The 23505-nt window shown below is 38.0% G+C and overlaps 1 protein-coding gene across 17 annotated transcripts in view; it reads right to left on the reverse strand.

Annotated features, from left to right (window-relative positions):
* Positions 1-23505, reverse strand: part of DMD (dystrophin) — a 2220167-nt gene that overhangs the window by 1496121 nt on the left and 700541 nt on the right.

Raw genomic sequence — 23505 nt, forward strand, 5'->3', positions numbered from 1 at the left:
CTCTACAACCAGGTTCTTAAACGTTCTCAATTACATTTCCAGCATCAGGGACATGGGATAATGTTTTGCCTATTAATTACACAACTTTATGTTGAGGATGAAAACACATTATTGTTCATTCATTAATTCAACCAAAATTTGAGATGCAAATGAGAAGTGCTGATGGTTATTTTAAAGGAAATACTCTTTATAAACATCATGTTTAAAGCATTTTTCAAAACTATATTCTGAACATTGATCTTATAATTTGAATTAGGAATATGTTATTTTGAATACATAATTTTACTCTAAAATCTTTACTGGAAGTTTCCATTAATCATCACATTTAAACACACAAAGTGCACACATAGCTGAGAGTGTTTTTTAACAGATTTAATTTTTTGGCTGTTTTAGATTCACGAAAAATTAATGAGATTATAATACAAAGAGTTATCATATAACTTGCACTCAGTCTCCCGTTTTATTAACATCTTATGTTATTATGGAACATCTCTTACAATTAATGAACCAATATTTGTGCATTAGCTGGAGACTATTATTATATTCTGATTTCCTTAAACTATTTTTTGTATTTCAGTATCTCTCCAAGGATTCCATATTACACTCAATTGTCCTGTTTCCTTAATCTGCTTTTGGCTATGACAGTTTCTCAGAATTTTTCTGGCAGTTTTTAAAAGTGCTGGCCAGGCTGGTATTTTGTAGTATGCCTCTCAGTGGGGATTTGTCTGATTTTTTTTCCTCATAATTAAACTGGGGTTTTTGAAAGACCACAGAAGTAATGGGCCATTTTAAGCACATTTTATAAAGCATATATACCCTCAACGTGACTTATCAATGTTAAATGTGACCACCTGGCTAAAGTAATAGGTGTCATGTTTATCCACTATAAAGTTACTCTTTCCCCCTCTTTTCACACTGTTTTTTAATAAGAAAGTCACTATACACAGCCCCTGTGGAGTGGGGAGTTACATTCCCTCTCCGTGAGGGCAGAGAAGTTACATAAGTTTTTGGAGTTTTTTCTGCATTGGAGATTTGTCTCTATTCCTCCATTTATTTATGAAATTATTTATTTACATAGCATGGACTCATGTATAGTTATTTGATACTTTGGGCTAAATCCAATACTAGTTTTTGCTTTGGATTTTTGCTCAAATAGTTCCAGCTTTGGACATTGGGAAGTCTCTTAGTTGGCTTCTTTGACACATCCCATCAGTGTTTTTTGTTTAGAGCGAGACCGTGGAGTTTAGCATGTTCTTACTATCTGGCACTACCAAATGTTCCAGGCTCATTTTCTATATTCCCTTTCCTAGTGTTAGAATCAGCTGTTTCTCCACAGTGTTCTGGTTCCTTTTTTTTTTTTTTTTTTTTTTTTTCTTTAAAGAATGTTACTGAAACCCAAGATCCTGTTGCTAGGTATGCTCCTTGCTTCTAGGGTGTTGTAGCTTACAGGACCTCTGGGTTGACATAAAGAAGTGGATGTGTGAGTGTGTACTCACCCATAAATACTTCTATATATAATTATCTCATCTGTATTAACCTAATATTAATTTATCCATCTCTCTCCACCTTGTGACTTCTGTTCCTTATCTGTGAACTACCTCTTCAACTTTTTTTTGAACTACCTCTTCAACATTTTGAGTTATAAGAAACTCAAAAATGATTTCTTTAAACTAGAAGTTGAGATGACCGCTGTTCATGTTTGGCTCCTCATGCTGCTGAATCCACAGACAGAGAAAGGGGTTACCATACAGAACCTAAGCACAAATGGTCAACTGAGTTCACCCAATACAATGCGGGGCAAGTAGTACTACATTAGAAAACTATGGGCATTTGCCAGGAGTCTCTTAGTATACCCATATATGATAGTGTTAACCAATAAAAAAAACAGAAGATACTCGATCAATATGGAAACACTAATAATATGGTTCTTTGGAAGGATGTTTTTTATTTCCCACTAAGGTCAAAGTACGCAACTAGAAGAAATTCTGCCATAGTAACCAAGACAGCATTGTATTAGCATAAAAACTGATCAGTGGAACATAATAGAGAACCCAGGAATAAATTAATGCATTTGCATTCAACTGATTTTGGACATGGGTGTCAAGAACACACCGTGAGGACAGGACACCCTCTTCAGCAAATGCTACCAGGAAAAGTAAGAATCTACATGCAGAAGAATGAAATTAGACCCTTATCCCTTGCCACATACAAAAACCAATTTGAAATGGATTAAAAACTTAAATTTAAGACTCAAAACTCTCAATCTATTAGTAGAAAACATAGAGGACAAGCTTCATCACAATTATTTGGGCAATAACTTTTGAATATGACTGTAAAAGCACAAGCAACAAAAGCAAAAATAGACTGAGGACTTATACCAAACTAAAAATTTCTGCACAGCAAAAAAATTAAAATTAAAATTAAAAATTAACAGAGTAAAGAGATATCCAATAGAATGAGAAAAATATTTGCAAACTATATATCTGATGGGGGTTCATATAAAAATATGGAAGAAATTCAACCAACTCCATAGCAAGAAAACAAATAACCTGATTAAAAATAGGCAAAAGACCAAAATAGACATTTATCATAAAAGGGACAAATGGATAACACAGATATGAAAAAATGCTCAACAGCACTAATCATCTGGGAAATGCAAATTAAAACCACAATGAGGTATCAGCTTACTTGCAAAGAAAAGGGAACACTTATACACTGTTTGTGGGAGTGTAAATTATTTCAACTATTGTTGAAAACAGTGTGGTGATTCCACAAAGACCTCAAAACAGAACTACCATTGGACCCAGCAATCCTATTATTGTGTATACACTTAAAGGAATATAAATCATTCTACCAAAAAGACACATGCACACATATGTTCGTGGCAGCACTATTCACAATCACAAAGACAATCAACCTAAATGCTTATCAGTGGTAAACTGGATAAAGAAAATGTGGTAAACACATACCATGGAATACTATGCGGCCATGAAAAAGAGTAAGATTATGTTCTTTGCAGAAACGTAGATGAAGCTGGAGGCCATTATCCTTAGCAAAATAACGCAGAAACAGAAAACCAAATACACCACGTTCTCACTTATAAGTGGGAGCTAAATGATGAGAACACATGGGCACATAGAGGGAAACAACAGACATGGGGCCTATTGGAGTTTGGAGGGTGGCAGAAGGAAAGAATTAGGAAAAAATAACTAATGAGTACTAAGCTTATACCTGGTGATGAAATAATCTGTACAATAAACTTCCATGACACAAGTTTACCCATGTAACAAAACTGCACATGTACCCTTGCACCTAAAAGTTAAAATATAATAGTAATTAACGATATCTTTGTCAAAAGAAAAAAGAAGAGATTATCACCTCACTTTTGTTAGCATGGCTACTATCCAAAACAAAAAAAGATAAATGTTGATAACGATTTAGGAAAAAGGCATGTATTACGTACCTGCAAAAGTTAAAAATTACTAATTAAAAAAAAGAAAACCTTTACACACTGTAAATGGGAATGGCAATCAGTACAGGCATCATGGAAAACAGTATGAAGGCTCCTTGAAATATGAACAACAAAACTACAATATGATACAAAATCCCACTATGAATTATATATACAAAGGAAATGAAATCAGTATGTCAAAGAAATATCTGCACTACCATTTTTATTGCAGCACTATTCATGGCCAAGATATGGAATCAATCCAAATATCCACCAACATATGAACGGATAAAGAAAATGTGGTATACATATATACAATGGAATACTATTCAGCCATAAAAAAGAATAAAATACTGTCATTTGCAACAACATGGATGAACCTGGAGGATATTATGTTAAGTGAAATAAGCCAGTAAAGAAAGAAAACCACTGCCTAATTTCACTTATATGTGGAATCTAAAAGAGCTGATCCCACAGAAGTAGGGAATGAATAGTGGTTACCAGAGGCTGAGGTGGTTATGGGGAAGGGGGAGGTATGGAGATACTTTTCAAGGGATATATAGTCACAGTCAAAATATTCAAGTGATGTATTTTACAGCATGGTGACTACAGCTAATGAAAATATACTCTTGAAAAATGTAGAGAGAGAGGACGTTAAATATTCCCACCATAAAAATGATAAATATGTAAGGTAATGCATATGTTAATTAGCTAGATTCAACTGTTCCACAATATATATTTACTCAGAAGCATCACGTTGTACATGATGAATATACAATTTTATCTGTCAATTTAAAGTAGGGTTTAAAAAGCAATGTTTAGAAATTGATAGCATTTCAAACAATAAAATATAAAAGTTGGGTCTGTTGAGTGTGTGTGTGGATGCTGCATACTATTGGCAGGAAAGATAGAACACACTCAAATATGTTTCGCTCAGTAGACTACTTACACATTTATGTGAAGGGTCGGGGGAAAAATAATAAACGATAGTGAAGGAGCCAGGACCTAACAACAAAGACAACTGACCTAGCATCCCCGGAACTGGAAGAAAAAAGGAAGAGAGCTGTTGCCGGAGCTCAGTGAGAATTAGAGACATGGAACAAGAGCTGTCCAACAGTAGCTGTAGTTTAAGAGGAACACAATTCCAGCCACTCCACAGTAAGAAACAGAAGAGGAAGAGAAAAGTACCACAATCTCTGCTTTCACCCTCTTGCCAGTGCCTCCCATTGGCTGAAGTACTTTAGCAACCAAAGGCCAAGAGGAACCTGGGTAACAGAAAATCTAGACTTCATCCTCTTTGAACAGAGCAAGAAGGAGAAAAGTGAAATGAATCTGCTAAACAGAGTAACTATCAAAATACTTAAATTAGTATAAGTGTATTTAAAACAAAAGGATACAAAATTCCATCAGCATCTTTATCCTCATACACTAATGCCAGGCTATTTAAACCCCAACATGGAACCTGTATGTAATGTTACATACCACTCACACTCTTCATATAAAATTACAGGGAAACAGGGGAAGTAAACCAGTAAAATAAAATATAAAAGATAATGGCTCCATAGCTGGTCCGAAGTATTGGGGTTGTTATCAGAGCTTTCTTCCAATATGCATTTCATATTCCTTTTGAGAGTGTTTACAATAATTTAGATTGCACTATTTATTGACTTTTAACATTTTAGAGACACATTTACCATGAGGAACATTGCAATCAGAAGTTATGAGAATAAACTTTCATTTATCAAACACAAAAAGTAGACATTTTATTTTTATGAGAAACAACAGAGATGAGATATCCATTTAAGTGGAAGCAAAAACTGAAAGTTGCTAGTATTTGAAAGCATCATTTACTTTTTGCTTTTGGACAGACATTTCCTTCAACAAATCTTTACTGAGTTTCATATCTATGCAGGAAACTCATATTTGTTAGGAATGGACAAAATACCTATCTTCAATTTCAAGTAGCTTAGAGACTATTAGAGACATAAATACAAAAATAATTAGAATATAAGAAATCCATTATAATTAGATTTATATACATTCCTGAGGGAGTAAGGAGAGGATACAAATTGACCTGCAGTCATTGGGAACAGTGTCCTCGCAGAACACACAGCCTAAGAGTTGAGACTTGAAAAATTCATTCATTAATTTACGAAATATACAATTATTGAGTACCTGGATACTACGGATGGAGAGGCAAGGAAGACCAACACAGCCCCTTGCTATCTTGGAGTTTATATGGATGGCGGGTGAGGGCCACAGATAATACATATAGCTCAACAGGCCATTAGTTGGTTATAATGTGATCATACTATGAAATGAGAGCAATTGAATTGAGTCTGTAAAGGGGGGCCTTTAGTGCAGTACTGGACAACTGTGAAGACTGAAGTCAGAAGTAGTGAAAAAGAAGGTATAAACTCTTTCTAGACGGAAAGAAAGACCTGTGAAAGGCCCTGTCACATCACAGAGGAACCGGAAATCCAGTGCAGCTTGATCGCACAAGGTGCAGGATGGTTGTACAGTATCATAGCCTACCTTAATCTGTGGGTCCACAGAGATTTCTTGAGCTCTGCCCCAAATCTGAAATTTGAACACCCAGTAATCTTTCATGTTCTATCGTGGTTTCATTTTACAAACTTGGACTCAGAGATTGACCAATAAGAAGAGATGTACACATAAGTGTTTTATCTTCTTTTTTTTTTTTTCTCTTAATAGAGACAAGGTCTCATTATGTTGCCCAGGCTGGTCTTCAACTCCTTAGCTCAAGCAATCCTCTCCCCTTGGCCTCCCAAAAGTGCTGGGATTATAGGCGCGAGTCCCCGAACCCAGCCAGGTGTTTTCTCTTTATAAGTGGGATACAGAAACATCTGGTTGGGGATTTTTGGGGTAGGGACCAGAATGGCTGGGTGTGTGCAAACGGGATGGCTCAATATTTTAATGACTGGTACAGTCACATCAATGTCTCCCAGCCAAATAGAGCCCTGCTTTTTCTCTCTTCATTAGTGGTTCTGAAAGTGTGGTTACTGGACCCTGGACCAACAGCATCAGCCCATCCCCTAGAAACTTGCTAGAAGTGCAAATTCAAAACTTGCTAGAAGTGTGTGCAAGACTCACACTTACTGAATCAGAAACTCTGGGATGAGGTCTAGAAATGTGTATTTTAACAGGACTTCCAGGTGACTGATGCATACTCACACTTGAAAATTACTGCTCTAGGTAACTTTATTCTACAAACACAACTCACCCAAATTCTGCAGAGACCAAGATATTAACATTAATAGGAGGACAACTGCCAATCCCCAGGAGATTACTATGAATTATTTTGACATGAGACTTTTACATTCTCTTCCTGACTTCACCTCCACTTACAGAGAGAAGTGTGACTGCCAACTGCCAAAGAATGGGTTCTACCTGAGGCTCCAAAAAGCAGGATTTCATGTGTCTGAAGCATGAAATTAACCTCAGAACAAGTTTGAAAACAGAAGAACCTAAGGATTGTGGAGGTGTGATACTAATAAGCACGAAAACAAAAAGCATTCATCCCATTGTTGGAAAGGATTCTGAGATGTTTTAATTGAGAAAATATTTCTTTTCCTTACTACAGGCCTTGACTAGATATTAGCAAATAGTAGTCCATATGCTGGATTTGGTCTCATACTAATTGAAAATAAATTGAAATTTTTGCCAGTAGTTAAAATTTGAGATATTAGCTACAAATATCAAATCTGACCACTCTTGATCATATTTAATAGGATTCAGCAACCCTAAACCTTCCTTCCTATAGGACAAAATTGAGTATCAATTATACTTCACATCCAATTATACTTCGCATCCAATTATACTTCATATACAAAGTATAAGCTCTCCAGTTTGCTGTAGTCCTCATCACTCCCTATCCTTTTTTATACGCAACTCATCTCACTTCCTTATGTTATGTTTCTGGCTTCTACAATAGGCATTTGGATTTGGTGCCCCCCGGGGTCTTGATCACAGCTTCTCAAACTTAAATATGGATACAGCCCACCTGGTGATTCTGATTTAAATTCACGGGGTTGGGTCGAAGAATTCAGTTCTAACCAGCTTCCAGGTGAAACCAATGTTGCTGGGTCATGGATCACACTTTGAATGACAACATTCCAGGTAAGAATATTATTTATTTGAAAACCACTGCTAGTCTACTTAAGGTATGTGTTCGATCTATTAGTTACTACTGCTAAAACTCAGAAGATATAGATTTATGTGACACTGGCAGGGAAGTATCAAAGGGTATCAGACTCAGAATGCCCAAGTATGCCCTTCAGTAAAGTAAGGAAGGGCTTTATTACAGTACTGATATGTGAAAAACTCTAAAGATTGAAATAACTAGTAATGAAGAGGACGCTTCCTTCCTTCACTGAGGCCTGTGAAAAGAGCATCAGTAAAGTGCAGGTGAATTATAGGCCAGAGTTTTCTGGGTGATTAGCAAGGAAGTGAGTAGTGGTCCATTGCAAGGCTGAACCAGAGGAAGAAGCAAAATTGAAGGAGGCACTGATATCAGAAGGTGAGTTTAACAGCCTTCATGACACAAATGTCCTTTTTCCCAAAGATGGTTTAAATAAAGGGGTGACTTCAGGGAGTGGGGAGGTTAACCTCTGGGTTAAAATGTCATTAATATTAGTTGTAAAATACACTGGCTAACATTTATTCAACTTTTTTTAACATAACCTTGCCAAGGTAAAGATTTATAATACTAGTATTTTTTTTTTTTTTTTTGAGACAGGGTCTCATTCTGTTACCCAGGCTCGAGTACAGTGACACAATCATAACTCACTGAAGCCTTGACCTCCCAGGCCCAAATGATCCTCCTGCCTCAGCCTCCTGAGTAGCTGAGACTACAGGTGCACCACCTTCCCTGGCAAATTTTTAACTCTTTTTGTATAGATGTGGTCTCCCTATGTTGCCCAGGCTAGTCTTGAACTCCTGGTCTCCAGCTATCCTCCTGCCTCGACCTCCCAAAGTTCTGGGATTACAGGCGTGAGCCACCGCACCTAGCTACTGTTATTTTATTTCTGAGGATAGTGGTAGGTTAAAGAGCTGGCACAGTGGCATGTGAAGCCAGTATAGAAATCACAAACCCTGTGTGACCCAAGACTGTGCACTATTTTATTTTTTTCATGGGCAAAATATTGTATTAGATCATATGAAATTTCTGATATTTCAATTTCTTTGTTGATGAAAATGGCTTCATATAGTTCAATTTAAAACATGATGAAAATGAGACAGGAGTTTCTTATTTCCAGCTAACATTCTAAAGATGTAAATAAATTTGGAAAAATTGTCAAAGTCACAAAATAAAAATCTACCATGCACAGATAGGAAAAAATGTTTGCATTTTTCCAGGTTTCATTTTATATCCTTCAAGTCGTCATTTAGACGGGAAAGTAAAAGCAAAAGGTGAATGGAGTATACATATATGACTGGCAATAGAGAGCCGAGGGAGTGGAATTAGAATAAAGTAGTATAGGGCAGGAGTTGGTCCTGACAGTAGGTATAGGCAAAAGCATATCAGGACATGATACTAGGAACTGCTACGGTAAACTTCCAATCGTTCAGATCATCTGAGAATAGAGAGGGGCTAGCAAAACAGATAAGTTGTAAGAACTTGGAACTTTGGCAACATAGAGTTACAGACCTAATGGTCTCTAGCGTCAACGACATTTTTGATATATTGTTAGATAACAGACATCCTTATGATTGTGCCCAGTGTTTCTCAAACTTTAATGTACATATGAATCACCTGGAGAGTGTCAAACTATGCATTCTAAGTCAGTAGGCCTGGGTTGGGGCCTGAGATTCTGCATTTCTAACAACTGCCCAAGGGATATCAATGCTTCGGATCCATTAATCACATTTTAAGGAGCAATGGTATAAGTCACTTTGAGTTGGCCTTTTTGTCATTTGCAGTAAATGGCATTCTAAGACGTAGTATTTTTCAAATGATTTTACTCGAGAGCTGTCATCCCACCCCCGGACATGAAAACGTATCTGTATGAACATAAAGGAATTCAATGGGAATGCCAGCTTTGCTTTACAGAAACTCTGTTAGAATGTAGGAAGGCGGCTGGGTGCGATGGCTCACGCCTGTAATCTCATCACTTTGGGAGGCTGAGGCGGCGGATCACAAGGTCAGGAGTTCGAAAGCATCCTGGCCAACATGGTGAAACCCCATCTCCACTAAAAATACAAAAATTAGCCGGGAGTGGTGGCACATGCCTGTAGTCCCAGCTACTCAGGAGGCTGAGGCAGGACAATTGCTTGAACCCGGGAGGCGGAGGTTGCAGTGAGCTGAGTTCGCACCATTAGACTCCAGCCTGAGTGACAGAGTGAAACGCCGTTTCAAAAAACAAAAAAGAAAGAATGTAGGAAGGCAATTATTCTTTAACCAGTGTTGTCCAGAACTTACTAAAATGATGTAAATATTCTATGTGTGCACTATAGGTATACATATATAATGGACACTAGTCAGGTGGGAATAATGAACACTTGAAATATGTATGGCTAGTAAGGCTCAGAAACTGAATTTTTAACTATATTTAATTATAATAATTATAATTTACCTACACATAGCTAGCGGCTGCAATATTGGACAGCACAGCTATAAACCGACAGATAATTAGATTACCAATATCCGTGAATCCTTATTTGCAAGTACTTATCCATACCAATTTATTTTGTCCTCCAATGTCTATGAGGAATGACATCCTAAGTTTAGCAATCTAGCAATAAACATTAATAGCATTTTTTAAAATTTTCATTTTCCATATACAAATTTATAAATGCAAAATAGTACATGTTTTCATTAATTTCAGCCTGTATTTGATGGTCCTAATAGCATTTTTTGTGCTTTATGGAAATACATTATAAAATGTATAAACATATATTATGAAAACATAATCATATGCTAGGCACTAACTAATAAAGGCATAAATGGATAGACTTTATAAAACCTAGAGGACTACAATTAAAACTTACAAATTACCAAGAGGTGTGAGCTCTTTAGGAAGACAGGCTCTCAGGCCCAATTCCCTAGAATTCACAGTTACTGGCATATATGCAATCCTCAATTTAAAAAAATACACCTAATAAAAGGAGGTAATGTATTATAATGAAAGTCTAGATTAGAAAAGAACTACCAGTGATGTTCAATTGACATGTCTTACATGTAAAATACAATTACATGATTTAAGTCAGAAATAAAACCTGTATAATATGATTTAAGGGAAAGATACCAGTACAAATTAGAGAAACTTAATTTTTAATGCATGTTTTTACTTTTAAATGCACGCCATTTAGAAACTAAAATTGTACTGATGAAAATTGGAATTGATTTATTTACTTATTCAAAATGATGGCTCAGGCTGGGCACAGTGGCTCAGGCCTGTAATCCCAGCATTTTGGGAGGCCGAGGTGGCTGGATCACCTGAGGTCAGGAGTTCAAGACCAGCCTGGCCAATAGAAACCCCATCTCTACTAAAAATACAAAAATTAGCTGGGCGTGGTGGCAAGCACTTTTTAATCCCGGCTACTCAGGAGGCTGAGGCAGGAGAATCACTTGAACCCGGGGGGACAGAGGTTGCAGTGAGCTGAGATCACACCACTTCACTCCAGCCTGGGTGAAAGAACAAAACTCCGTCTTAAAAAAATAGATAAAAATAACAAAACGATGGCTCAAAAATTCTAGCAAGGTGGTTCTTATAGATAGATTAGTTTTGGTTTTAGCTTAACAATTCTTTATATGCAACTAGATGCTTCTAGAATGCTGTCATCTGCTTAAATAAGTAATTTTTAAAATCAACTTTGTTTCAGCTTTTGTTTCATTCTCTATTAAGAAAGGTATTGGGGGCTGGGGAAGGAATAGCATTAGGAGAAATACCTAATGTAAATGAGCTGATGGGTGCAGCAAACCAACATGGCACATGTATACCTATGTATCAAACCTGCGAGTTGTGCACATGCATCCTAGAAATTAAAGTATAATAATAATAATAAAAGAGGGAGAGAAAAAAGAAAAGAAATCCAAGATAGGTTAAAAAACAGAAAGTTATTAATTGAGGTAATGTTTAAGTCCGGCTTTTATTCAAACTATCACAGATAGGTGAATTAGTGGAATTTATATAAATAATGCCTTAATATAAAAAGGTACTAATTGATTAGAATCACTGAGAGAACTTTTCAAAATGACGTCCCAGCCCCATTCCCCAACAATTCAATCAGAATATCTGGGAATGGAGCCCAGGTATTGGTTCTGTAAAAAACTATCCAACCAGGTAATTCGAATGAACATCCAGGGTTGAGAACGATTGTGCCTCTTCCCCGCCCCCCCCCCCGCCCCAGGACACAGCCATAATTTTTACTTTAGCCCTTGGGTCCTCACAAGTGGCAAATACCTGGAAAGCTGTATCCAGACAACATGACTTGTTAGGGTTAACATGAACCAGATGCACAGAGGTAACATGGAGACAAAGGATCAGGATGCACAAACATGCGTTTACTTATTTATAAATGACTTCCACAAGTACTAAAATATCTATTATGTACCCCCAGAAATTACAAATAAAAAAGAAGACTTACTAAAGAGTAATTTTGATCTTGTAGAATTTGGGGCTTTTAAATATAATTTTTAAATACAAAATAATAATTGTGTGTCAGAAAAAAAGAGGTATTATTGTAATTAATCCTATTGATTCAGCAACTGATATTAGCCCCAATTTACAGGTGGGGAAACAAAGGCTTACTTGGGTCAAAACGCAAACAAGGGAAGGTGACAAAGTGGGAACTCAGGTAGTTTGGCTCCGGGGCCTGCTTCACAATCATGCAATATTGCCTGAACTAAAATTAACTTTTTAGAGATTAACTTTATATCTATTATAAAGTCATTTATGGCACTGATTATAAATATTAAAAAAATAGAAAACAGAAGTTCATTTGGTGGAATTTTATACAGAGATTGTCATTAATAATTTTATTATTTTCACCAAAACGAAAATTACAGTTGTTACTCTTGAGACAATTGTTCTTAGCATGATGTTTACTTTAATGATAGAAACCACAATACCCTATTTTTTAAATTTTTATTTTTTTGGGTATATAGTATGTGTTTATATTTATGGGATACAAGAGACATATTCATACAGGCATACAGGCATAATATGACATTAGGGTTAATAGGGTATCCATCACCTCGAGCACTTATCATTTCTTTATGTGACAAACATTCCAATTATACTTTTTGTTATTTTAAAACGTACAACAAATTATGTTTGACAGTAATCATCCTGTCGTGCTATCAAATACTACATCACATTCATTCAATCTAACTATATTTTTGTACCCATTAATGATCCCCACTGCCCCCGACCCACTAGCATTCCCATCCTCTGGTAACCATCATTCTAGTCTCTATCTCCATGAGTTCAGTTGTTTTAATTTTTTTTTTTTTTTTTTTTTTTTTTTTTTTTTTTTTAAGCTCTCACAAGTAAGTGAGAACATGCAAAGTTTGTTTTTCTGTGCCGGGCTTATTTTAATCAACATAACGTCCTCCAGTTCCATCCATGTTGTTGTAAGTGACTGGATCTCATTCTTTCTTAGTCAAGCTTAAGACTTGTCATTTTTGTCAACCCTTTCAAAAAAACCTTCTTTTTGTTTTGTTGATCTTTTGTATCATTTTGTTGTACTTTAATGTATTTCAGCTCTGTTCCTTACTGTAATATTTATTTTCTCATACTAATTTTGGGTTTGGTTTGCTCCTTCTTTTCTAGCTCTTTAAGGTGTATCATTCAATTATTTGAAAGTTCTTCTGCTTTTTTGATGTAGGTATTTATACCTATAAACTTTCCTCATAGTACTGCTTTCACTGCTTCCCATAGGTTTTGGTTACATTGCGTTTCCTTTTTCATTCGTTTCAAGAAATTCTATAGTTTCCTTCTTAACTTCTTCTTTGACCCACTGATAATTCAAGAGCATATTGTTTAATTTCCATGTGTCTCTATAGTTTCCAAAATTCTTCCTACTGATATCTTGATATATTCAGTTGTGATCAGAAAAGCTAATTTATGTTATTTTGATTTTTGAATTTTCTAAGACTTGTTTCGTGGCAGAACATATGGCTTGTCCTTGAAAATTATCCATGTGCTGAGAAGAAGAATATGTACTCTGCAGCTGTTGGATAAAATGTTCTGTAAATATCTATTAGTTCAAATTGGTCTACACTGCATAATAAGTCTGATGTTTCTTTGTTGATTTTATGTCTGGATGATCTATCTGGCCACTGCTGAAAATGGGGAATTGAAATCACCGGCTATTACTGTTTTGGGGTCTATCTCTCTAACTCTAATAATATTTGATTTATACGTCTGGGTGTTCCAATGTTGGGTACATATTTATTTACAATTGTTATGTCCTCTTGCTGAATTGACCCCTTTATCATTCTACAATGACCGGCGTTGTCCCTTTTTATAGTTTTTGTCTTGAAACCTATTTTGTCTGATAAAAGAATAGCTAATCCTGTTCTTTTTTGGTTTCGATTGGCATGGAATACTTGTTCCATCCCTTTATTTTCAGTCTATCTTTATCTTTATTGGTCAAGTGTGTTTCTTGTAAGTAACAGATTATTGTGTCTTGTATATTCTTTTATCCATTCTGTCACTCAATGTATTTAGATTGGATAGTTTAGTCAATTTACATTCCATGTTATCATTGGTACGTTAAGGACTTAAACACTTCCCATTTTGCTATTTCCTTTCTGGTTGTTTTGTGGCCTTCTCTTCATTCTCTCTTTCCTTCCTGTCTTACTATTAATGAAAGTAATTTTCTCTGGTCATATGTTATACATTCTTATTAATTTTTATGTACCTGAGTACATTATTTGATTTGTGGTAACTATGAGGTTTGTAAAGAATAAGTTATAATCCATTATTTGAAATTCATGACAACACTGGTTGCATAAACAAATAAGCAAAGAGAAAACTAAAAAAAAAAAAAATGCTACACTTTAACTTCATCCCCCCACTCTTTTTGTTGTTTCTATTTATATCTTATTATAGTGTCTATGTCTTGAAAAGTTGTTGCAGTTATTTTTGATAGGTTCGTCTTTTAGTCTTTTTACTCAAGATATGGGTAGTTGAGACATCATAATCACAGTGTTATAATATTCTCTTTGTAACAGAATAGTAACAAACCTTACTATCACCAGTGAGTTTTGTTACTTCAGATGATGACTCATTGCTCATTAACATCCTTTTCTTTAAGATTGAAGAACGCCCTTTACCATTTCTTGTAGAAAAGGTTTGGTGTTAATGAAATCTGTCAGCTTTTCTTTGTCTTAGAAAGTCTTCATTTCTCCTTCAAGTATGAAGAGGATTTTCATAGATATACTATTCTAGAATAAAAGTCTTTTCCTTCAGCACTTTAAATGTATCATGCCACTCTCCTGGCCTGGAAGTTTTCCACTGAAAATTGTGCTGCCAGACATACTGGAGCTATTTCTATGTGATTTTTTTTTTTATATGATTACCGCTTTTAAGATCTTTTCTTTATCCTTGACCTTTGGAAGTTTGATTTTTAAATGCCCTGAGGTAGTCTTATTTATATTATATCTCCTTGGTGTTCTATTATCTTCTTGTACTTGAATTTTAATCTCTCTCTCTAGGTGGGGGAAGTTCTGTGTTATTACCCTCTTCAATAAACTTTTTAGGACTTTTTTGTCTCCTCTGACTGTATTTACAAATAGCTTGTCTTCAAGCTAATTCTTTCTCCTGCTTGATCAATTCTTCTGTTACTCGTCTCTGACGCATTCTTCAGTATGTCAGTTAAATCTTTCAACTCCAGAATTTTTGTTCGATTCTTTTTATTTCAATCCCTTTGTTAAATTTATGTGTAGGATTCTGAATTCCTTCTCTGTACTATCTTGGATTTTATTGAGCATCCTCAAATCAGCCATTTGGAATTCTCTGTCTGAAAGGTCACATATCTGTCTCTCCAAGATTGGTCAGCGATGCCTTATTTAGTTCAGTTGGTGAGATCATGTTTTCTTGGATGGTCTTGATGCTTCCGGATGTTCATCAATGTCTGGGCATTGAAGACTTTGGTATTTATTGTAGTCTTTGCAGTATCGGCTTGTTTGTATCCATACTTCTCAGGAGGGCTTTCCAGGTATTTAAAGGTTCTTGGGTGTTGTGATTTATTCCTTTGGTCACTGCAGCCATATATGCACTGGGGTGCACCCAAGCCCAGTAATGCTGTGACTCTTGCAGACTGTTAAACGTACTGCCTTGGTGATCTTTGGGAAGATTCAGGAAAATCCCCTGTATTACCTGGTAGATAATCTTTTTCTCTTTCCTTCCCCTCAACAAAGAGAGTCTCTCTCTGTGATGAGCTGCCTGGAGCTAAAGGAGAGGTGACACAAGCACCCCTGTAGCTACCACGACTAGGATTGTGTTGGGTCACTCCTAAAGCCAGTACAACACTGGGTCTTGATCAAGGCCCACACTGACCACTGACTGGCTATCACCTACATTCACTCAGGGCCCAAGGACTCTACAATCGGCAGGTGGCAAATCCAATGAAGCTTGTGTTTTTCACTTCAGGGTAGCAATTTTTCCCTGGTGGGTTTGCAAGATCCTATATGTAAGCCAGGGCCTGGGGTCATGTATTAGGCCATTCTCACAATGCTATAAAGAAATATCTGATACTGGGTAATTTATGAAGAAAAGAGGCTTAAATGGCTCATGGTTCTGCAGGTTGTCCCTGAGACATGATGCTGGCATCTGCTCTGCTTCTGCGGAGGCCTCAGGAGATTTACAATCATGGCAAATTGCGAAGGAGGAGCAGTCATGTCACACGGCCAGGGAAGAGGTGAGTGGGAGGGTACCACACACTTTTAACCAACTGGATCTGACAAGAATTCACCCACTATCATGAAAACAGCACTAAGAGGATAGTGCTAAACCATTCATGAGAAATTCAACGCCATGATTCATTCGGCTCCCACCCAGGCCCCACCTCTGACAGTGAGGATTGTAATTCAATGTGAGATCTGGGCAAGAACATACATCCAAACCATACTATTCCATCCTGGCCCCTCCCAAATCTCAAGTCCTTCTCACATTTAAACATACAATCATGTCTTCCAAACAGTCCCCCAAGGTCTTTACTTATTCCAGAATTAACTCAAAAGTCCGGAGTCTCATCTGAGACAAGGTAAGTTTCTTCTACCTATGAGCCCGTAAAATCAAAAACCAATTAGTTACTTCCAAGATACAATGGGATTATAAGCATTGAGTCAACACTCCTATTCCAAAAGGGTGAAATTGGTCAAAAGAAAGGTCTCATGCAAGTCTGAAACCCAGCAGGGTAGTCATTAAATCTTAAAACTCCAAAATTATCTGCTTTGACTCCATGTCCTACATCCAGGGTAAACTGGTGGGAGTGGTGTGCTCCCAAGGCCTTGGGCAGACTCCAACTTTGTGGCTTTCTAGGGTTCAGCTTCCAAAGCTGCTCTTATGGTCTGGTGCTGAGTGTGTGTTTCATTTCCAGATACAAGGGTCAAGCTGTCAGTGGATCTACCATTCTGGAGTCTGGAGGACAGTGGCCCTCTTCTTACAGGTCCACTAGGCAATGCCCCAGTGGGGACTACGTGTGGGGGATCAAAGCCCACATTTTCCCTCTGCATTGCCCCAGGAGAAGTTCTCTGTGAGGGTTCTGCCCCTGGAGCAGGCTTCTGCCTGGAAACCCAGGCTTTTCCATACAACCTCTAAAATCTAGATGGATGTTCCCAAGCCTCAACTCTTGCACTCTGTGCACCTGCAGGCTTATGGCTTGTACCCGCTGGAGCTGTGGCCCAAGCTGTACTTGGGCCACTCTGAGCCACAGCTGGAGCTACAGTGGCCAGGACGCTGGGTGCGGGGGGGAGGGGTTGGGGCGGGGGCACAGTGTACGAGGTTGAACAGGGCAGCTGGGACCCTGGGCCTGGCCCAGGAAACCATTCTGTCCTCTTAGGCCTCCGGATCTATAATGGGAGGGGCTGCCTTTTAGATCTCTGAAATGCCTTCCAGGCCTTTTTCCCCATTGTCTTGGCTATCAGCACTTGCCTTCTTTGTAGGTATACAAATTTTTCTAGCAAGTGGTTGCTCAGAAGCCTTCTTGAGTTCTCCTGAAAATGGGCTTTTATTTTCTACCACATATCCATGTTGCAAATTTTGAAAACCTTTATGGTCTGCTTTCCTTTTAAATATACATGTATAAATATGTAAAAAACCTGCACGTTCTGCACATGTATCTCAGAACTTAAAGTACAATAAAATAAAATAATAAATATTCCATCTTATTTCTTTGCTCCTGCATCAGAGAGTAGGTTGTTAGAAGTGGCCACACAACGTCTTGAACATTTTGCTGCTTAGAAATTCATTCCGTCAGACACACGAGATCATCACTCTCAAGTTCAAACTTTCACAGATATCTAGAGCATGGACATAATACAGCCAACTTCTTTGCTAAGGGATAACAAACATGTCATTTACTCCAGTTGCCAATAAGTTCATTCTTTCCATCTGAGACCTCGACAGCTTGGACTTCACTGTGCATATCAGTATCAGCACTTTGGTAACAATCATTTAACCAGTCTCTAAGACATTCCAAATTTTCCCTCATCTGTCTTCTTCTGAGCCCTCCAAACTCATCCAACTTCTGTCTGTTACCCAATTTCAAAGCAGCTTCTACATTTTCAAGTATCTTGACAGCAAAGCCCCACTTCTTGGTAACAATTTTCTGTACTAGGCCACTCTCGCATTGCTATCAAGAAATACCTGAGACTGAGTAATTTATAAAGAAAAGACGCTTAATTGGCTCACAGTTCTACAGGCTGTACAGGAAATATGATGCTGGCATCTGCTCAGCTGCTGGGGAGGCCTCAGGAAACTTACAATTATGGCAGAAGGTGAAGGAGGAACAGGTACATCACATGGCCACAGCAGGAGCAAGAGTGAGAGGGAGGGTGCCACGCTTTTAAACAACCAGATCTTGCAAGAATTTACTCACTATTGCAAGGACAGTAGCAACCAATTATGAAAAATTTGCCCCCATGATCCAATGAGCTCCCACTAGGCCCTACCTCAAACACTGCAGATTACTACAATTCAACGTGAGATTTGAGCAGGCACACATGTCCAAACTATATCAACTCAAGAACCTAAGAAATCTACCTGGTGCTCTATTCTACTGTGGCTAAGCTGGCACCCCACCCAAAAGATAAAGTCCTTCCCTCTCTTCTCTCCCCTTTCCACAAACAGAGATGTCTCTCCTCATGGCCACGACGACTACTGAACCAAAGAGAGTACTGTCTGAGGTCCAATGTTCACTCAAGGGCCAAGGCCACTTTGGCCAGCCTGTGGTGAATGCTGTCAGTCCTGAGTCTCTCCCTTCAGGGCAGTAAGAAAATGGAATCCAGGAGCCAAACTCTGGAATCAGGGACCCTAGGAGCCCACTTGATGCTCTGCCCCACTGTGGTCAAACTGGAACCCAAGCTGCAAGCCAAAGTCCCCTTTACTCTCACCTCTCCTTTCCTGAAGCAGAAGGATTCTCTCCCTGTAGCCACCACAGCTGGGAATGTACTGGGTCACACCTGAAACCATCACAGCTCTGAGTCTCACCCAATACCCACAGCAAGTACTGCCTGGCTACAGCTGCTGATTATTCAGGGCCCTAGGTCCCTTTGGTCAGCATGTCATGAATTCTGCCAGGACGGGGTCCTTCTCTTCAAGGTGACAGGCTCTCTTCTGGCCCAGGGTGTGTTCAGAAATGTTATCTGTGAGCTAGGGCCTGGAATGGGGACCTCAAGACTCTGCCTGGTGCCCTATCCTATTGTATGTCTGAGCTGGTATCCAAGCAGCAAGACAAAGTTCTCTTTCTTGTCTCCTCTCTTCTTCATAAGCGGAAGGAAGGAGTCTTTCCTGGAGCTGTGAGCTGTGCTGCCTGGGGTTGGGGGAAGGGAAGCACAAGCAGTCCCTTAGCTGCCCCAGCGGATGTCTCACTAGGTTGTATGTATCCCAAGTCCACTGACTCTGAGCCCGGCACAGCACCAGGACTTGCAAAGGAACTGCAGTCCTTGTGGCCTAGACTACCTTTGAAGTTTATTTAGAACCACAGAGCACTCTAATCCATGATGACAAGGCTTGCCGGAACTCAGGTTCCAAACACTGGGATGGATGATTCTTCCCTGTCTAGGGTTCATCTAAATGCTCCCTCTGCGGGATTTGGCTGAGTTCTGTTCTTTGTCGGTTTCCACTGTGACAGGGCAGCACTGATTTTCAATGCAAAGTCCTATAATCACTGCAATCTCCCTTCTGCAAGCACATAGACTCTCTCTTCATGCCATGTGACTGCTGCCATGGATGAGGGAGAGCTGGTATAGGTGATAGAATATTGCCTTTACTACCCTCTTCTGTGCCTCTTTCTGTGATACAACCCAAAAACCAGGTACTACGATCATGCACCTAATTTTTCACTCTTATGAAGGTGCTTTTCTAGTGTGGACAGTTGTTCAATTTGATGTTCCTGCAACAGGGATAATTACTGGAGGCTTCTGTTTGGCGATTTTTCTCCACCTCCTCCACAATAAACTTCGAGACTCATTTTCCCTCAAATATATGGTGACCATATAAAATGACTAGATATTTTTAAAATGTATGGTGTATCATTAAATATAGGAATCAGAAATCATGATATATTATAATCCAAGAAATGGCAAACATGTTTTAATATAGAAAAGCAACATTCATTTAAAAGAAAAGCTTGAGTAGTGCATGTACAAACATATGCACATAGTTTTTTGTTGTTGTTGCATGGCAATAATGAATGGTCCATAGGAAGCATATTAGTATTTTTCAACTCCCAAGATTTATAACGTTTATCAAAGTTCAATAAGTGGCCTGTGAAATATAAGCTTTAAAGCCAGAATCCAAACAGAACCAATTACCCCCTCAAATGTGTAAGACTTCAGCTGTCACTGTTTTCACTATCTCATCACCTTTACCACAAGTACATCCATCGCTATTGTCCTCTAGTTCTCATGCTAACTTTCTGAATGGGTACCCTCAGCATCTGTGAAGCTGTAGAAACCCTACTGGCCTAGTTTACCTACTTGCCTCAGTAACTAGATCTGCTTTCCTCCAAATTCTGGTATTCCTTACTAGACTCAGCTGCAAAGCCTGACACTGCATGGTGTCACGGTGTGTATAAATCTTAGGCACTAATATAGTAGTTTCCATTGGAGAATGAAGTGAGGCAAGGTCTGACAAAATTATACAGTTTTTATCCCCCTAAAACTAATGTGTTCATTCTCCTCTTTACAGCACCTTCTTTCCCAACACGAAGTATGCTGACATCTTGGGCTAGGAAAGAAGCCAAGGAGAGCATGTCATGTATCATTTTCAAAAATTCCCACTAATTGCCATAGTTATTATACTGCACCCTGCAACCTGATCTTGGAGGTCAAACTTTAAATTACAACCTCACAGTAAATAGTTCAGAAAGAACCTAATATAAAGTTCCCCATCCAACAACTAGAAATGAAGGAAAATGTTCCAGTTTTTCACAAAATTAAACATGCACTAACATTTATTTTCCTACTTAATGGAATGTGAGAAATAGTATTGTTTTTATACTGAATTCTATGAGAAAATCGAAAATGTGTCATTGTTTTCAAATCCTGATCCATTTTTGTCCTCCATCCATATAGCTGAACAGTTTAATTATTAATATTTTTCAACTATCCGAGGCAACATTAAAGTTCAAATGCAAACACATTTATTTTCATTTTGAAAACATAAATTCAGTTTAGTAACAATAACATAAAGAAGCTGCGTGGCTGGATGCAAAAGATTCTTGGCCAGGCGTGGTGGCTCATGCCTGTAATCCCAGCACTGAGGCTGAGGAGGCTAAGGCAGGTGGATCACGAGGTCAGGAGGTCGAGACCATCCTGAATAACATGGTGAAACCCCGTCTCTACTAAAAATACAAAAAGTTAGCCGAGCGTGGTGGCGGGCACCTGTAGTCCCAACTACTGGGGAGGCTGAACCAGGAGAATGGCGTGAACCCGGGGGGCGGAGCTTGCAGTGAGCCGAGATAGCGCCACTGCACTCCAGCCTGGGAGACAGGGAGACTCTGTCTCAAAAAAAAAAGAAAAAGAAAAAGAAAAAGATTCTTGTGGCAAATACATTATGGCAACCCTCAAATCAATCTTCCTGATTAAATGCTTTTAAAGAAAATAAAGAAATTGGCAGATGTCATCAGGAGCCAAGGACAAATATGAATATATCACGTTTGGAAGACTGTTTAAATTATCTCTAGTAAGAATAGGTAATGTTGACACTCTGAAATTCTATTCATTTATGTGGAAATAGAAGCTCACTCTCAACTTCAAAAATTTTGCCACTACATAGCATCTGGCACAGTGCCTGGCACATACTACACACTCAATAAATATTTCTTCAATGTATAAGTAGTATAACTTAATTATGAACAAGACATAGTTTTGATATTTCTGATTGGGAATTTTTGTACTAAGATTAAAATGTCAACTTCTATTAAATCTGCTCTCTGAGATAGTCTATTAGTTTAATTTGAATTGTTCCAACCCCTGGCTGTTACCCAGTTCCAAAGTCACTTCCACGTGTTCGGGTATCTTTATAGCAGCACCCCACTCTCTGCGGTACCAATGTACTGTACTAGTCTGTTCTCACGCTGCTAATTAAAGACATAATAGAGACTGGATAATTTATAAAGAAAACAAGTTTAATTGACTCACAGTTCGGCATGGCTGGGGAGGCCTCAGAAAAAATCATGATGGAAGGGGAAGCAAACATGTCCTTCTTCACATGGCAGCAGGAAGAAGGGCCAAGCAAAAGGGGAAAGGCCCCTTATAAAACCATCAGATCTTGTGAGAACTCACTCACTATCATGAGAACAGCATGAGGGTTACACTCCCATGATTCAATTACCTTCCACCAGGTCCCTCCCACAACACATGGGGATTATGAGAACTACAATTCAAGATGAGCCAAACCATATCAGCATTATTTATCTTTGTGAGAAAGCATTGTTTTTGAAGATACGGCTCTCTCATTTCTGTGAATTCCAGAAATTTAGCTTTCCTGTAATTTAAACTATGAGTCACATGCATTGTATTATTAGTACAAGAGATGTCCACATTTAGCTGCATTATCACATTTTTAATTATTGACAGAAAAATTATTATGACCATAATCCATGTGCAACCTAACCGAATGTCACGTTATCATCTATAAATAATTCCTACTTCTTATTAGTCCAATAGCTTAATTATCAATACTCATCAACACTCATATATTGTCTGTTATATATTATTGCACCAGAATCTTGCTACTGCTTAATCACCCATGGGGTATGATATCAACATATGAGGACTGAATGAAATATCAGCACCATTTTTAGAGCTCCTGAGAAAGTAATTAAAATATTTGGCCCACGTCACTTGATAGAAAAATAGGAACAGAAGATATCTAAGTAGAGGTTTACAAAGAAGTTGAGATTTCTACTCTGTCTTAATTTCAGTTAGATCAGTGCTTCTCAAACTTAAACTGATCAGGGATCACCTGGGATATTGCTAAACTGCACAATTCTGATTCTGTATATATCAGAATGAGAGCTGAGAGTCTGCATTTTTAACAAGTTCTCAGGTGACGCTGATGCTACTGGTCCTACACCACCTTGATCTGCAAGTTACTATTGCTTAACATTACTGGAAGAAGTAAAACAGAAAAATCAATGAACTTACCAAATTGTGAAATAAAATCACAATTAGGAGTTTGAGATTGTGCACCTCCAAAGTATTTACTGCAACGAATTCAATTCCAAGATTGGAATTACCTGAATAACTTAATTTAGTTGTTCATCTATTCATTCATATATTCACATACGCAAACTTCACTGCACTTGGGAGAAAATAACCCACTCATTTGTTCAGCACCTCCTTTTCTCTATCC

This window comes from Homo sapiens, chromosome X, assembly GCF_000001405.40.
Source record: "Homo sapiens chromosome X, GRCh38.p14 Primary Assembly".
Classification (NCBI taxonomy): domain Eukaryota; kingdom Metazoa; phylum Chordata; class Mammalia; order Primates; family Hominidae; genus Homo; species Homo sapiens.